At 51.0% G+C, this 17,775-nt stretch overlaps 1 protein-coding gene, 2 long non-coding RNA genes and 1 pseudogene across 3 annotated transcripts; 1 reads left to right on the forward strand and 3 right to left on the reverse strand.

The window, feature by feature from the left end:
- OR7E125P (olfactory receptor family 7 subfamily E member 125 pseudogene) lies at nt 869-1,837 on the reverse strand (annotated as a pseudogene).
- On the reverse strand, nt 7,974-11,730 carry LOC124901878 (uncharacterized). Its single transcript, XR_007060795.1, has 2 exons — nt 10,573-11,730; nt 7,974-10,106 (listed from the first exon to the last, which is right to left on the reverse strand). It is a non-coding gene; the product is annotated as an uncharacterized LOC124901878 (long non-coding RNA).
- Nucleotides 11,154-14,164, forward strand: FAM90A15 (family with sequence similarity 90 member A15). The gene is made up of 4 exons (NM_001423538.1): nt 11,154-11,276; nt 11,771-11,970; nt 12,429-12,537; nt 13,202-14,164. The coding sequence occupies exons 1-4, from the start codon at nt 11,154-11,156 to the stop codon at nt 14,162-14,164; spliced, it is 1,395 nt and encodes a 464-aa protein (NP_001410467.1).
- A 704-nt stretch (nt 14,165-14,868) lies between these two features.
- LINC00965 (long intergenic non-protein coding RNA 965) lies at nt 14,869-17,742 on the reverse strand. Its single transcript, NR_027000.1, has one exon. It is a non-coding gene; the product is annotated as a long intergenic non-protein coding RNA 965 (long non-coding RNA).
- Between the last annotated feature and the right edge of the window lie 33 nt (nt 17,743-17,775).

Consider the following 17,775-nt stretch of genomic DNA (forward strand, 5'->3'; position numbering starts at 1 on the left):
GAAATGGTAAGAAAAAACAGCATAATAAACATTTGTATGGCGTTGATGGACAATGCATTTGAAGATAATATTTGAAGAAATCATATTACAATTAATTTCTGTTCTTACTCATTGCAGCTTGATGCCTCTAAAAACTTCGTCATTGGAACCATCTCTGGTGCTTTAAAAGAAAAAAAAAAAATCCACACACTCACACAGGTGCAAGGAAATCAGAATCTCAGGTATTGAGAACCAGTCCTCATCATGTGTAAGCTGCCCAGGTGATTTGACTCAAAGCCAAGATTGAGGAACGGCGACATGGATATCTACACAGAACCTGCCTAAATAGATTCTCTAGAAGAAGTTTATAAAGAAATTCCACATGAACTGTGGAAGAGGATATGAATTTGATGTACAGTATGTCCTCACTTAACATCTTTGAAAGTCTCTTGGAAACTTCACCTTGAAGCAAAATTATGTACAGTGAAACCACTTATTTTTCATCAACAGTATAACTACACGACTTTGAACAACCAATGCTGTTGGAGGACCTTCTGTACATTGTTTCCATAAAGTCAGTTTTCAGGGAATTCCAAAACGAAGTGAGGACTTCGTGTATATAAAATGATGGTTGTGATTCCACCTGGATGACATGGTTATTGCTCAGAGACTAAAAGAGGCCACCTAGGTATAGAAGATTCTGTCATGAGGTTTCTGCTAAACCAAGGATCCCAGAATCGTCACTCATTCCAGATAAAGGCATAACGAAGAAAGCAATATTCACAAAGGAAATGCGGAAAGGAATAAAAACCATCAAGCCACAAAAAGAATGTGACTAAGGGGCAGGATTTGCAGATAAAGAGATTTAATGTGATTGCCCTTTCTCACCCACACAAGAAAAAGGATGGAACAGATCATGAGATTCGAATGCTCTGCTGCCCAGCCTCCGCAGGGCACTTTGTATGTCCCTGTTTCTCAGGCTGCAGATGAAAAGGTTCAGCATGGGGTGACCACAGCGTACATCACTGATGCCACCACACCATTCCTGGGGGGTGGTGACACAGCTGAAGTCAGGTACATGCCAATGCCTGTTCCATAAAACCAGCAAACAACTGCTAGATGACAGCCACAGGTGGAGAAGGCTTTATACTTCCCATCTGACGATGAAATCCTTAGAATGGAGGGGACAATTTTATAGTAAGACAAAAAGATCCCTGAAATGGGAAGAAAACCAAACATAGTACTATCGAAATATATGAATATGTTATTGATGACACTGTCAGAACAGGCAAGTTTGAGAAGTTGAGAGGGGTCACAGACCAAATTAGAGATTTCCACATTCTTGATGATGGTTAATTGTAACACAATCCAACTGTGCAGCTGGGAATCCAACAGGCTAAGGAAAAAGGACACCAAAACGAAGAAGACACAGAGGTGAGGATTCACGATGACTGGGTAGTGCAGAGGGCGACAGATGGCTACAAAGCAGTCATAGGCCATCACAGTCAGGAGCATGCCTTCTATACATGCAACAAGGAGCAGGAAAGACATCTGTGTCAGGCAGCCCGCATGAGAGATGACTCTGCTATGCGACTGCGTGTCCACAATCATCTTGGGAACCATGGCCGAGGTGAAACCGATGTCAGGCCAGCACAGGTTGGAGAGGAAGAAGTACATGGGGGTGTGGAGGGGGCAGTCAGAGCTGACAGCCAGGATGCTGAACAGGTTCCTCAGCACCGTGACCAGATACATGGACAGGGACAGGGACAGCAAAGCGAGGGCCGGCTGCAGTTCTGGATCCTCTGAGAGTCCCAGGAGGAGGAATTCTCAGACACCTGTGAGATATTAGTCCCAACATCCCAGAGGGTGTACACTACCCCTGTGATATTGTCCCTAACTTCCAGAGGGGAGAGGATGACATCACTCCCAATATCTCAGAAGTTGTACATCCCCCGTGATATTGTTCGTCATATCCAGGGAGGCGCAGGATGACATTCCATTGAATTTCGCGACAGGCCTACACGCACAGTGTGATACTGTTCCTACTATCCAAGAAGGGAGAGGATGATATTACTCACAATAAAGCAGTGGGTGTACATCACCTCTGTGTTGTTGTCTCTAATATCCGGGGCCGGGGGAGGAGGGGAGAGGATAACATTGCCTCCAATTTAGCAGGTGGTTTGACGCCCCTTGTGCTGTTGTTTTAAATATCCAGCGGGGAAGACAGTAGTACTATTTTTGATAGTCCGATTCATCCTCTCCACCTTTCCGGAACTCTGAGGCCGGGAGGCGGCATGTAGTTTCCGTGCGATCCCCAATACCTTTGCCGTTTTCTGTACCAAGGCAGCCAAAAACGCAGGCCCGTTGTCTGAGCCGATCCATAAGGGCGGTCGAAATCTAGGAATCACATCTCGAAGAAGCACAGGGATTACTTCACCAGCTTTCTCAGTTCGTGTTGGATAGGCCTCCACCCACCCAGAGTAGGTACGCCCAAGAACCAGTACATGCTTGTTACCTCCACACTTTGGCATCTCCGTGAAGGTGAAGTCCACCTGGAGACCTTCAAAGGGGGCTGCTCCACAAGCTCGTATGCCGGGCGGAACGGCTGGACCTTGACTCCCATCTTGCTGTCAGCAGGTAACACACCGCTGCCTCACCGTTTTGGCAAGGGTTGACAAAGGCGAGATGTAGAAATACCGGCCTAACAACTTTTCCAGTGACTCCTGACCTCGATGGGTGTTTTCTTGCACAGCCAGTACAACTGCAGCTCCTAGCAGCTGTGGCACAGCTACTCTCCTATCTGGTAACTGAATCCATCCTTCCTCCATCACTTGTCCTTCCCTCTACCTGGAGAAAGTCCTTTCTTCTTTAGAAGAAGCAGGTCCAAGATCAGGTGCTTGAGGGAGCACTGATGCCCAGAAGGGGGCAGTTGCTGCTTTTCGAGCCTCTGACTCAGCGCGGGAATTCCCCAAACACAGCAAGGTGGAAGCTCGCTGGTGTCCTCTGCAATGCCTAACTGCCACCTTGTGGGGTTTCCATACTGCTTCTAATCATTGCAAGATTTCTTGTGGATATTTTCTGTCTTTCCCCCCAGAATTCAATAGGCCCTTTTCTTTCTATCACACTCCATGCACTTGAAGGGTTAAAAAGACATACTGAGAATCAGTGTAAGTGTTGACAGTCTCACCCTCACTGAGTTCTAAGGCCCAAATGAAAGCATTAAGTTCAGCTTTCTGGGCTGAAGTGGCCTGGGGCAACGACCTGGTTTCAACAACAGTGTCCAGAGTTATCACTGCATACCCTGCACCTCTCTCTCCTTGGGGGTTGAAGAAGCTGCTCCCATCCACGTGTGGCTCCCAGTCTACTGATGCCCAAGTCTGGTCCCGGAGCTCAGGTCTGCTAGAGTCAATTGAGTCCAACACTTCTACACAATCAGGCTCGACAGGGCTCCCTGATACCGGCAGCAAGGTGGCGGGGTGTAGGGTGTTACAAACTTCAATGGTTATACGGGGATTTTCACAGACCAAAGTTTGGTACTTGGTGAGCCTGGCATTCGTTAGCCAATGACGTCCTTTAGTATTCATCACCACAGCACGGGAGGCCTTTATGTTCAGGTTTCGCCCAAGAGTCAGCTTATTTGCTTCTTGTACTAGCAGGGCAGTTGCTGCCAAGGCCCTCCAACAGGGGGGCCATCCTTTAGAAACTCCGTCTAGTGGTTTACAGAGGTAGGCCACCAGCCTCAGCCAGGGCCCCACAGTTTGGGTTCAAAGTCCAGCTGCCATCCTTTCTCTCTCTGATGCATACAATGGAAAAGGCTTTGTCAGATCGGGTAGCCTCAGGGCTGGTGCTGCCAGAAGTTTTTCCTTTAACTCATGAAATACTTGCTGTTGTTGGGATCCTCATTCCAAAGATTCCCCGTCCCCGTCCCCCTTGTGACCTCATACAAAAACTTGGCTAATACTGCAAAGTTTGGGATCCACAGTCTACAAAACCCCACAGCTCCTAAGAATTCTCCTACCTGCCTTCTGCTCTTAGGCTCCGCTAGATGGCAAATGACCTGCTTTCTTTCTGATCTCGGGCTGCGTTCCGACCCCTGTCGGATAGTAAATCCCAAGTAACGTACCTGCTGTCGGCAGATCTGAGCTTTCTTCTTGGACACCTTCTACCCACAGTCCTCCAGGTGCGGTGTAGGGCATCTGTTCCCTTGGCACACCCGACTGCCGTGGGGTGTCCCAGCAGAAGGTCATCAACCTACTGGAGCAACAAGCAGCCTAGGTCTCTGCTAGGAAACTTCTGGAGGTCTCGATCCCATGCCTCCCCGAAGATGGTGGGGGAGTTCTTGAACCTTTGGGGAAGCCCGGTCCAAGTGTACTAAGTAGTGACACCTGACTCCGGATCTTCCCACTGAAAGGCAAACAGCTTCTGCCTCTCAGGGGCTAATCTGATAGGAAGGAAAGCGTCTTTTAGGTCCAAGCAGGTGAACCAGCTGTCCTCAGCTGGCGGCAACCCCAACAATGTGGACGGGTTAGGTACTGTTGGATGTAAAGTCAGTGTGGCTTGATGAAGCAAGCGCAAATCCTGTACCGGCCGGTAGTCCTTGGTCCGTGGCTTGGGAACAGGCAGGAGGGGAGTGTTCCATGGAGACTGACAAGGAACAATCATTCCAAACGTTCTTAGGTGCTTGAGATGGACCTGGATACCTTGAAGGGCTTCTCTGGGGACCGAGTCCTGTTTTTGCCTCACCGGCTGGGCCCCAGTCTTAACTGGCCAATCCTGGAGGGTTCTCTTCTGCCCGAACTCTTGGCCAGCGCTTAGCCAGAGCTGGTCTTTTCTCTTTGCCCGGGTCAGTTCAGAAAAGTCTCCATTCCTCCTCTCGGGGGACCATAAGCGTCATAATGACTCCCATTCCGGGTAACTTTAGCAGCAAAGAGCCGTGCTCTGTGAAAGAGGCAGTGGCTCTCAGCTTGCTGAGCAAGTCCCTTCCTGAAAAGTTCAAGAGACTGTCAGGCATGTAACAAAACTGATGAATGACTTTATGTCCTCCTACAGGACAAGTCCAAGGCAAGCAGAAAGCTTGCTTTGCTGAAACCCCCGTGGCTCCGATGACGTCAGTAGTCTTTTTCGGTAAGGGGACAACCGGGGCGGTTACTAGCGAATGTTCAGCACCGCTATCTACAAGAAAGTTAATGTCTCCACCCCTGACTGTCATTCTGAACAGATGTCAGAATGGGGATGCTTGAGCCCGGTCTCCCTCAGTCCAAGAACCCTTCCGCCAGGTTGAGCAGGGCCCCTTCCTCCTTGTCCGGGGCCTCCGGCTCTGAGTCACCTTCTTTTCTTTTGAGCTGAGGGCATTTGTTCTTCCACTGTCCTATTTCTTTACAATCAGCACACTGGTTACGCTGCAAACTCTGACAGCCAAGCTGAGTTTCTTTCCCAGGGCCCCCTTTCCCTTGCCTCTTTGCGGGGGCCCCTCTGATTGCTGCAGCTGACAAACAGGTCGGCGTGTGGCCGGGCCTGACCTCCATTCTCTTTGCCGTTTTCCTTACGGCTTACTGCATACCTGTTTACAAACACCTGGCTAGCTATTTCTAGTAATTGGGATGGATTCTTCCCTGCAAGCCCAGTCTGTTTCTGCAGTTTTCTTCTCATGTCTTCTGCACTTTGATGGACTAAAGCCATGTGAATCATGCGCTGATTTTCAGGGCTATCGGGATCAAAGGGAGTATACATATGATAGGCCTCATACAGTCTCTCGTAGAATTGTGCTGGACTTTCTTCTTTTCCCTGAATGACCTCAGAGAGCTTGTTAACGTTTGTGGCCTTCTGAGCTCCCCTCATTAATCCTTCCAAGAGAGCTTCCCTGTCTCGGTTTAGCCTTTGCATCTCCTCTCTTTCATGTGGGTCCAACTGGGGGTCGGTTCCTGGCAACTGGGTCCTTCCATACTGTTCGGGGTTTTGATAATCAGCTGGTGCATGTTCCTCTAGCCACTTAGTTGCTGCTTGGAGGACTCTCTGCCTTTCTTCACTGTTAAAGAGGAAAATGAGCAACTGGTGCCAATCGGTCCAGGTGTGGTTGTGGGTCTGGATAACAGTTTGGAGCAAATCAATTAGGGCTTGTGGCTTTTCGGTATAGGGCGATGTATTGTTTTTCCAGTTGAGAAGGTCGACGCAGGTGAAGGGCTGGTACCCAAAAACACGTCTCTCCACTACATGAGCATTTTCATCTATCCCAGTATACCGCTGCTCTCTCAGGGGCATTTGTGTCCCCGTTTTGGGTCGTAAACGAGCTGCCGAGGAAGGGGTGGAATGGCGCAATGCGACTTACCGCAATTAATAATCTCAATTATTAACTGACACTAATAATTATCAATATTAATAACCCATAATATAATTTTAAAAATCAATACGGATACTAATGATAATTAATATTAAATAGTTATACTAACAATAACAATACATGATTAATATTGATGATTATGACGCCTGATATTAATAACTGATACTGATCTTATTCTTTAGAAAATAGTAATATTAGCTCCTAATAATTAATATTAATATTAATAATCTGAGAACTTTTTATTAGCAATTACTTCTTAATATTAATATTAATATCGGCCATTCATATTCATGTTAATAAAAAACAAGGAATAATTCATACTAATAGTATGCCCTAATACCTCAGTGGGTGTACACCCACCTGTGATATTGTTCCTAATGTTCAGGGAGGGAGAGAGCATGATATTACGTTCAATATCGCAGCAGGTGCACACCCAGCCGGTGATATTGATCCGAATATAATCTCCAGGGGGTGGAGTATGACATTACTCCCAATATAGCACTGGGTGTGCATCCACCCGGTGATTTTGTTCCTAATATTCATGGAAGAAGAGAATGCTATTACTCCCAACATCGTAGGAAGTGTACACCCCCGTGTGACGTGGTTCTTAATAATATTCCAAGGCGGAGGGGGTGATATGACTACACATATGGCAGAAAGTGGACACCCCCAAGGATATTGTTCCCACGATCCTGGAGGGAAGAGGATGATATTGCTTTCAGTATCACAGAAGTTGGACACGCCCCCACTGATATTGTTTGTAATTGCAACGTGGGAGAGGAGGATATGACACGCGATATCCGAGGGAGTAGAAACACCCCTGTGATACTGTTCTTAATATTCAGAGAGGGAGAGGATGATATGACTCCCAATACAGACGGTTGTACAACCTCTGTACGCCGGGGTGAACACTGGTGGGTGAAACAGTTCACAATCTCCAGAGCGGGAGACGATATTACTCACAATATGATAAACAGGCTGTGAGTCCACCGCGGATCCTAAAAACCAGGGGGGCAAGAGGGGTTAGCTCTTACTCTGCGCATGGCGGGGCGTGCCTCACCCCCTGCGATGGGGGTCCTAAGAGCCAGGAGGTAAGATGGGAAGGCTCTTAATACCCGCATCAAGGGGCGTGCCTCACACCACTGCGATGGGGGTCCTGAGAGCCAGGGGGGCAAGAGGGGCTGGCTCTTACCCCAAGCATAGCAGGACGTGACTCACCCCGCTGCGATGGGGGAAACTAAGAGCCAGGGGGGCAAGAGGGTTTGGCTCTTACAACCCGAAACGGGGGGAGTGCCTCACAACCTGCGATGCGGGTCCTAAGAGCCAGGGAGGCAAGGGGGGATGCGGGAGACAGTGGCTGTCCTCCATCTAAATTGCAAGAGGCTTTCCTCTTTGACTACTCCACCTCGGCACAGACCCTTTACGGGTCTCAGGCTGGGGGACAGTCAGGTATTCCCCATCCCACAGGGCCATATTTCAGACTGTTACATGGGGAGAAACCTTGGACAATAACCTGCTTTCAAGGGTAGAGGTCGCTGCGGCTTTCCACGGTGCATAGTGCCCCTGGTTTATTGAAACTAGAGAATGGCAATGACTTTTACCAAGTATACTGCTTGTAAACATTTGGTTAACAAAGCACATCCTGCACAGCCCTAGATCCCCTAAACCTCGATTTTATACAACACAGGTTTTCTGAGCTCCAAGTTGGGTCAAAGGGGCTGGGGCAAAGTGGATGAGGCAAGGCAACAAATGAACAACATCTCAGCAAAGCAATTGTTTAAACTACAGGTCTTTTTCAAAATGGAGTCTCTTATGTCTTCCCCTTCTACATAGACACAGTGACAGTCTGATCTCTCTTTCTTTACCCTACATCCAAGGGCTTGAACATTTCTTGACTTGTTGGCAATCCAAATCGTTACGTCTCCGAAACAGAGTTGACTGAGGGGACCGCAGGGCTGGGCAGGACCTTTGACTTGCTATACATCCACAGGAGCAAGAAAACCTCAGCCCCACTCTACCAACACGCACCTAGTAAAATCCCGCCAACCGCATCTCACGCACGCTAACACGTGGGGAGCGTTGCTTGCACCACGAGTCCCCATTTGGCTCAACCGCCGATGCCAAGTGTGTGGTTCCAGTTGCGACGGCCCCCCGTGAAGTGGCTTCCGGATGTGCGAAGGAACCAGGCAGAGTTTCACTGGCCAAATAGACCCCAGCAAAGCTGAAGTTAACTCCCACATTTGGGATGTACTTCAGAGGTAAAACATTCATCCCGTCTTCTTTCCGGATGTCTGACACCATGGTTCTCCCCCTGATCCTAAGAGTAGCTGAGGTAGAGACTCACTGAAAGATCTAGGCGGGGATGTCCCATCATGCACAGGCTCTCTCCATTCTCTGACCTGGGAACAACTCTCAGCAGGATTCCACATCTAGGAGGCCTCGGAACTCAGTGGGATTTTCTGAGACACACCAACTGGCTGCTCCCTCTCCGCCGCTGTTGAGGGTCGTTATCTTGATTATCCAGATCACCTAGAAAGTATCCGTATCCAGAATGAATAAGATCAACTCTCTGCTCCTCTGACAGCAGAGGGAGCAGGACCATAAGGAACCAAAGAGCGTGGAAGGAAACGATGTGACAGGAAAGCTCAGAGAACGGCCACAGGGGGTCGTCAGCAGGCCTTCCAACCTGAATCATGAATAATTAATGAAGCGCAAATCAAAGGGGACTGGAGTTTCAGCAGGAGCAATTCATCCAACGGGAGATCGCCGGAGGGCCAACAAGATTGAGAGACTGGGAGCCGGGTGCAGTGTCAAAGGGGACGCGACTGGTTCCAAAGCTCGAGAAGACCATGGGGTCACTTGGGCTACATGAGAAAACGCCCCAGTGTGCTGGTTCATCATTCCGACTCCTGCCTGTCTCTTCCCGTCCAAGGAACATGGACCCTAAGTCGTGCAGGTGCGGATGACCATGGGCAGAATTAGGGGCCGTGGCACAAAAGTTCACCGACACGGGAGTTCCACAGAAGGTGCGGTGGATCTTCGCAAATCCAGAGACATGGCAATGGGACCCAGGGAATTAGAGCCTCACAGGCGTCCGGGAGTCGCAAGACGAGCTGAAAAAGGAGCCAGGCACTGAAGGACAAAGCGTTGTTGACTTTCCTCATCTGTGTTTCCCAGTGCGGTCCAATTCACGGTGGTTTCCAAGCGCCTCCTGGGGGAGAAAACACATGAGGGTGCGGTCAGGGTTCTCTGCTGACAGACTTACCTTGGGGAAGAAAGAGAAGCTCTGAAGATGGATCATGGCCGTGACTGCATGTCAAGGAGAGTCTCCTTGATGACACTGAGGCCTACGTCGAGAGAGACAAAATGTGGTCCAATTAAAAGGTGTCTATTTTACCACATTTTTTAAAACGAAACAAAACAAAACAACAAAAAAGATGGAAAAGAAGACAGGGGTACAGGCACCAGTGTTACATGTCTGACGGGGAACATCTATTGTTCAAAGCTTGCAGCTGTACAAGTAGGTTTTAGAATGTCTGTCAGCAGTGGACAGGATCTTAGAGTGGGCTGTGCAGATAGACCTTTCCAGGTCATGTAATTGGATTAAGTTAATTGCAATTAAGGTACAGGTAACTGATTAGGTTAGGGTACGTTCCATGTCAGGTGACCAGAGGCAGTATAAAAGGCAGCCTGGAAAGCAGAGGTCCCTCTCCGCCCCTTCCTCCGTCGTTCTGGATGCTGCATCGCTTCCAGCGGGGCTGCTGCAGCACCTGCCCATCTCAGCGCCAGCCTGGGAAAGAAAGTAGACGTGTAACTTCAGGTTAGTTTCGCTGAACAATTGTTTCTTTCACGCAATCCCTGAGGGGTGTTTTGCGGGGGGTGTGGGGGAGGAAGAGACAAAGGAGGCCGAAAGAAACCGATCACACTGGGGCTTGCTGGTGGGGTAGGATGTGTTCTCGTTACTAGTAATTCTTGGAACAGAAAACGAGAAAACATATCCGTCTCCACGTGTGGGAGAAGACCAAGATGGGAATGCGAAAAGAAATGTACTGCAGCATGCTGAATTGGTGGGTAAACGGCAAAAGGACTTTGGAAAAAAGGGTGGTTGGCCCTTGAGCCGTGTAAGACGTCGATACGATATGGCACTTCTTCCCCGTTTGTTCAGATGAATTCGTGTGGTATGCGTAAAATACCAGGAAAATAAATAAAGAGGGGCTGGAGCTAAAGCCAAAAGATAGAACAGGAAAGACCATCACCTGCTAGTGCGGTAGAGAGGAAGGTAACTTCTCTGTATGAATTTGTGTTTGGAAGTTGCCTAATGAAATGGCAAGAGTAGCGATTCAAGTTGTCACAGGAAGCATCCCTTATCCCTGACTTCAAGCAGACCTGCCAAAGGGTGGCACACGCCATGCCCTGTGTCTTCGATCATTCTGTCCGTCAAGGGAGATAGAATCACCGTGTCTTCTACCGGAGTGAATCGTGAGAGACCTAAGTCCAGTCTCCAGAATCAGTTGTTTGTTTGGGGTTGAAAGCTCAACCCCCCATACCTAGGCCACGGGCCCTGTGGCAGGTGGGGTTTACTCTTGGACTAGGTAGTCATGGCAGAGGAACACACAATATCCGAGGATGCGCACAGCACATTGTGTGCTACAGATTTGACCGACTGGTGGTGAGGTCTCCTCATGACCACACAGGCAGGGAGTTAGCAGGTGGCTTCCTGTGGGTGTGTGAATATCCAACGTGCTTAACCATCGACATGTGTGTGTTTGTGTGTGTTTCAGGTGGCCCAACAGTCCACCCCTGAAAAAGGCGGTCATAAAACCCCCAGGAGACGAAGATGATGGCACGTCGGGACCCCACATCTTGGGCCAAGAGACTGGTGAGAGCCCAGACCCTCCAGAAGCAGCGGAGGGCCCCAGTTGGGCCAAGGGCTCCCCCGCCCGATGAAGAAGATCCCAGGGTAAGTCTAGCCCTGGATCTCTTGGGTATCGGGGTGGGGGTGGGGACGGGGGGAGGGGGTGTCCCACGGTCCTCAGAGACTGGGTTGGATTCCAAAGAGTTCTGTCACCACCAGCCAGGTTGCTTTTCCCATCCAAGGTGGGCGTGGCTTGGGACCTTCTCCCCGGCCCGATAGGTCCCTTGAGAGACTCTTGGGGGCAACCTCCCTTTCTACTTAGAGTCCTGTGTAGCCACGTTTGGCTGCGTTGTTGACATCGGCTTCACCATCGTGCCCCTTGGAACCTTGAGTCCTTCCTTTCAGAGTTCCTCCGTCACACGGGCTTTGCGAGGGAACATCGTATCCGAACTCTCCCAGCACTTAACGGCCCCCATGCCGGTGTCCCCTCTTTGGAATCCTTATTCAGCTCTGAATTCACAATCCGTCCCAATGTTGACGTGGGATCGCTGCCTGTGGCTTCAGCTCACTCACTGACATCACTTCCTTTCCACCCACAGCTCAAGTGCAAAAACTGCGGGGCCTTTGGCCACACGGCCAGAAGTACCAGGTGCCCCATGAAGTGCTGGAAGGCAGCCCTGGTTCCAGCGACCTTGGGGAAAAAGGAAGGGAAGGAAAACCTGAAACCATGGAAGCCCCGGGTTGAAGCCAACCCGGGGCCCTTGAACAAGGATAAGGGAGAGAAGGAAGAGAGACCAAGGTGAGCAGTGGGAGGGGTTTTCACCACTCTTGGGGTACTGCCTCCTAAGGACATGGTGTCTCTGCACCTGCACACCGTGTGCCTTTCCGTCTCCGGGCCAGGGAAGGAACGCTGCAGAGAAATAGGCCGGAGCTCCGTGTCCTCCGGGGTTCCACACCCAGGAGCTCCTTGGGCTCTGGGAGATTCAGGGACGGGGAGAGGCGGGGGCGCTTCGTGCAGGTTCCCCGCCACAGCGGGAAAAGCGATGGAATCCAAATCACAGTCCTTAGTTGGGGAGCCTAGAGGGCCACCTGGAGGATGGGAAGGTTGGCACGTGAGGGAAGGTGCAGAGGCGGAAAGGGCACCAGATGTCCATTTCTGTATCACAAGACACGGAATGGGGCTGGGCCCCAGACGGGGTTCTCCCTGTCTCCTGGGGAAAACCAGGGGGCACGGCCTGACCTTTTTCTGTTCTGCAGGCAACAAGACCCGCAGAGGAAGGCTCTCCTCCACATGTTTTCCGGGAAACCTCCAGAGAAGCCGCTGCCGAATGGAAAAGGATCCACGGAACCTTCTGATTATCTGAGGGCGAGTGTCACCCCGGGCCCCTGGTCTTTTTCTCCTCTAGGTCACCCTGGTTGATTTCCTTTCAGCTTCCCGTCTGCGGGAGGAAATCGGGGAACCCCTCTTTCTTGCCTTCTTGGGGTCAGGGACTCCACGATCCTTCCAGGTCAATTGGATTCCAGGCGAAGGCATCTGAACATGCCGTATTTCCTGTTGCTTTCTTTCTGTCCAATTATGGCAAGCCTGCCAACAACACGTTCCTAGCGGCATGAGGAAATTAGTCCCTCAGAGGCCCCAAACGTGGAGAAGGCGAAACCCAGGAACATGCATGTGTTCAGAGAAGACGTCCCGAGTACCCTTGAGCCAGCAACCTGCCTTGGGAAGGGCATTAGTCCGTTCCACTTCATGGAAGGCTGAGTGGAGGCGCTTTGATCCAGTTAATGCCCAAGACGCGATCTTTTGAACAATGGTGTGCTTAGATCAGCTACACATAGCTCGAGAGCGCATCTTTCATGTGTCTTGTCCTGATCAGCACTCAGGTGGAGGGTCTGTCCCTACTTCCAAGGACCGCCTGTCGATACTGTACTAAGAATTTCATGGCGTGTGCACCTTGTCTTTGGATGTGCTTGATTTTCACGTTGGCTCCATGCTGAGGAACTTCTAACCTGTGTTGTTTCCTCTCTTTCAGGTTGCAAGCGGGCCAATGCCGGTCCACACAACCAGTAAGAGGCCGCGCTTGGACCCTGTCCTCGCTGATCGCTCAGCTACCGAAATGTCTGGCAGGGGCTCCGTCTTGGCTTCACTGTCTCCCCTCAGAAAAGCCAGCCTGAGCTCCTCCTCAAGTCTTGGACCAAAGGAAAGACAGACAGGGGCTGCGGCCGACATGCCTCAGCCTGCAGTCAGGCACCAGGGCCGCGAGCCTCTCCTCGTGGTGAAGCCGACACACAGCCGCCCCGAGGGTGGCTGCCGAGAAGTTCCCCAGGCTGCCTCCAAAACCCACGGCCTGCTCCAGGCCGCCAGACCCCAGGCACAAGACAAACGTCCTGCGGTGACCTCACAGCCCTGCCCGCCAGCCGCCACACACAGCTTGGGCCTAGGCTCCAATCTCAGCTTCGGGCCAGGAGCCAAGAGACCTGCCCAGGCTCCGATTCAGGCTTGCCTGAACTTCCCCAAGAAACCGAGACTGGGTCCCTTCCAGATCCCCGAAAGCGCCATCCAGGGAGGTGAGCTGGGGGCCCCGGAGAATCTCCAACCTCCGCCAGCCGCAACCGAACTTGGACCAAGTACGTCGCCCCAGATGGGCAGGAGGACACCGGCCCAGGTGCCCAGCGTCGACCGGCAGCCTCCGCACAGCAGACCTTGCCTGCCCACTGCCCAGGCCTGCACCATGTCCCATCACCCAGCGGCCAGCCATGATGGGGCCCAGCCTCTCAGAGTGCTCTTCCGGAGACTGGAAAACGGACGCTGGAGCTCCAGCCTCCTGGCGGCCCCCTCATTTCACTCTCCTGAGAAGCCGGGAGCCTTCCTCGCTCAGAGCCCTCATGTGTCAGAGAAGTCTGAGGCTCCCTGTGTTCGTGTCCCACCGAGCGTCCTCTATGAGGACCTTCAGGTTTCCTCCTCCTCAGAGGACAGCGATTCTGACCTGGAGTGAGACTGCAGGTGGCAGGGGCTCCTTGGCCTCCAGCTCCCGTGACTTGGAGGGGACTGTGGGACTGAGGAGCGCAGAGCAGAGAGCAGACTCTGTGCGGTGACTCCGAAGCTCCCCGGCTGTGGCGCTTCTGTGGATGTGGGAGCCCAGGCCAGGCAGGGAGCAGATGCAGGGACTCTGCCTCATTGAATTCTGGTGAGGGACGTTGTAGTTGGCGTGGTTCTCCCGAAACGCGCCAGGAAAAGCTTCCGTGCCAGAGATTCGTTGCCTCAGAAACTGCGTGACGCGCAGGAGTCAGACTTCCGCTGGGACGTCAATAGGAAACTGGGGAATTACTGTGTATTTGCTCTCTAGATGACTGAATAAGGGAAAAGTTAGGGAACCCTGAGAGGTGCAGCCCTTCCTCTGTGCCCCGCCCTGAGAGCAGAGTTTCGGACGCTGGGAAGCGTGCTGTGTGAAGCGCTCTCGGGGTCTTTCCTCAGCCTCGAAAACTGGGCTCTGGAATGCCTTTGTACATATGTGTGTTTAATTGGTTTTGAAGTGAATAAAATTCTCAAAAAGATGACATATTGTCTTTTGACTCTCATTCCGTGTTTGTGTGTAACTGATTTTCCAAGTGAAGGGGTGGCCTGCCCCTCCACACCTGTGGGTGTTTCTAGTCGGGTGGGATGAGAGATGGAGAATAGAAATAAGACACAGAGACAAAGTATAGGGAGACAACAGTGGGTCCAGGGGACCGGCACTCAGCACACCTAGGACCTGCACCGGCACCGGCCTCTGAGTTCCCTCAGTTTTTATTGATTATGATTATCATTATTACAGCACAAAGGAATGCAGTAGGGGAGCAGGGTGATAATAAGGGGAAGTTCAACAGCAACAACAAAAACAAACACGTGAGCAAAAGAATCCATATCATTATTAAGTTCAAGGGAAGGTACTATGCCTGGACGTGCACGTAGGCCAGATTTATGTTTCTCTCCACACAAATATCTCAGCGGAGTAAAGAATAACAAGGCAGCATTACTGCCAACATGTCTCGCCTCCCGCCACAGGGCAGCTTTTCTCCGAGCTCAGAGTTGAACAAATGTACGATCGGGCTTTACACCGAGACATTCAGTTCCCAGGGGCAAGCAGGAGACAGTGGCCTTCCTCCATCTGAACTGCAAGAGGCTTTCCTCTTTGACTAATCCACCTCAGCACAGACCCATTGCGGGTGTCAGGCTGGGGGACAGTCAGGTCTTTCCCATCCCACGAGGCCATATTTCAGACTGTCACATGGGGAGAAACCTTGGACAATACCCTGCTTTCAAGGGCAGAGGTCCCTGTGGCTTTCCACGGTGCATTGCGCCCCTGGTTTATTGAGACTAGGGAATGGCAATGACTCCTACCAAGTATACTGCTCGTAAACATTTGGTTAACAAGGCGCGTCCTGCACAGCCCTAGATCCCTTAAACCTCGATTTTATACAACACAGGTTTTTGTGAGCTCCAAGTTGGGTCAAAGGAAGGGGCTGCGGCAAAGCTACAAATGATCAACATCTCAGCAAAGCAATTGTTTAAACTACAGGTCTTTTTCAAAATGGAGTCTCTTATGTCTTCCCCTTCTACATAGACACAGTGACAGTCTGATCTCTCTTTCTTTACCCTACATCCAAGGGCTTGAACATTTCTTGACTTGTTGGCAATCCAAATCGTTACGTCTCCGAAACAGAGTTGACTGAGGGGACCGCAGGGCTGGGCAGGACCTTTGACTTGCTATACATCCACAGGAGCAAGAAAACCTCAGCCCCACTCTACCAACACGCACCTAGTAAAATTCCGCCAACCGCATCTCACGCACGCTAACACGTGGGGAGCGTTGCTTGCACCACGAGTCCCCATTTGGCTCAACCGCCGATGCCAAGTGTGTGGTTCCAGTTGCGACGGCCCCCCGTGAAGTGGCTTCCGGATGTGCGAAGGAACCAGGCAGAGTTTCACTGGCCAAATAGACCCCAGCAAAGCTGAAGTTAACTCCCACATTTGGGATGTACTTCAGAGGTAAAACATTCATCCCGTCTTCTTTCCGGATGTCTGACACCATGGTTCTCCCCCTGATCCTAAGAGTAGCTGAGGTAGAGACTCACTGAAAGATCTAGGCGGGGATATCCCATCATGCACAGGCTCTCTCCATTCTCTGACCTGGGAACAACTCTCAGCAGGATTCCACATCTAGGAGGCCTCGGAACTCAGTGGGATTTTCTGAGACACACCAACTGGCTGCTCCCTCTCCGCCGCTGTTGAGGGTCGTTATCTTGATTATCCAGATCACCTAGAAAGTATCCGTATCCAGAATGAATAAGATCAACTCTCTGCTCCTCTGACAACAGAGGGAGCAGGACCATAAGGAACCAAAGAGCGTGGAAGGAAACGATGTGACAGGAAAGCTCAGAGAACGGCCACAGGGGGTCGTCAGCAGGCCTTCCAACCTGAATCATGAATAATTAATGAAGCGCAAATCAAAGGGGACTGGAGTTTCAGCAGGAGCAATTCATCCAACGGGAGATCGCCGGAGGGCCAACAAGATTGAGAGACTGGGAGCCGGGTGCAGTGTCAAAGGGGACGCGACTGGTTCCAAAGCTCGAGAAGACCATGGGGTCACTTGGGCTACATGAGAAAACGCCCCAGTGTGCTGGTTCATCATTCCGACTCCTGCCTGTCTCTTCCCGTCCAAGGAACATGGACCCTAAGTCGTGCAGGTGCGGATGACCATGGGCAGAATTAGGGGCCGTGGCACAAAAGTTCACCGACACGGGAGTTCCACAGAAGGTGCGGTGGATCTTCGCAAATCCAGAGACATGGCAATGGGACCCAGGGAATTAGAGCCTCACAGGCGTCCGGGAGTCGCAAGACGAGCTGAAAAAGGAGCCAGGCACTGAAGGACAAAGCGTTGTTGACTTTCCTCATCTGTGTTTCCCAGTGCGGTCCAATTCACGGTGGTTTCCAAGCGCCTCCTGGGGGAGAAAACACATGAGGGTGCGGTCAGGGTTCTCTGCTGACAGACTTACCTTGGGGAAGAAAGAGAAGCTCTGAAGATGGATCATGGCCGTGACTGCATGTCAAGGAGAGTCTCCTTGATGACATTGAGGCCTACGTCGAGAGAGACAAAATGTGGTCCAATTAAAAGGTGTCTATTTTACCACATTTTTTAAAACGAAACAAAACAAAACAACAAAAAAGATGGAAAAGAAGACAGGGATACAGGCACCAGTGTTACATGTCTGACGGGGAACATCTATTGTTCAAAGCTTGCAGCTGTACAAGTAGGTTTTAGAATGTCTGTCAGCAGTGGACAGGATCTTAGAGTGGGCTGTGCAGATAGACCTTTCCAGGTCATGTAACTGGATTAAGTTAATTGCAATTAAGGTACAGGTAACTGATTAGGTTAGGGTACGTTCCATGTCAGGTGACCAGAGGCAGTATAAAAGGCAGCCTGGAAAGCAGAGGTCCCTCTCCGCCCCTTCCTCCGTCGTTCTGGATGCTGCATCGCTTCCAGCGGGGCTGCTGCAGCACCTGCCCATCTCAGCGCCAGCCTGGGAAAGAAAGTAGACGTGTAATTTCAGGTTAGTTTCGCTGAAC

Source organism: Homo sapiens, chromosome 8, assembly GCF_000001405.40.
Source record: "Homo sapiens chromosome 8, GRCh38.p14 Primary Assembly".
Taxonomy (NCBI): domain Eukaryota; kingdom Metazoa; phylum Chordata; class Mammalia; order Primates; family Hominidae; genus Homo; species Homo sapiens.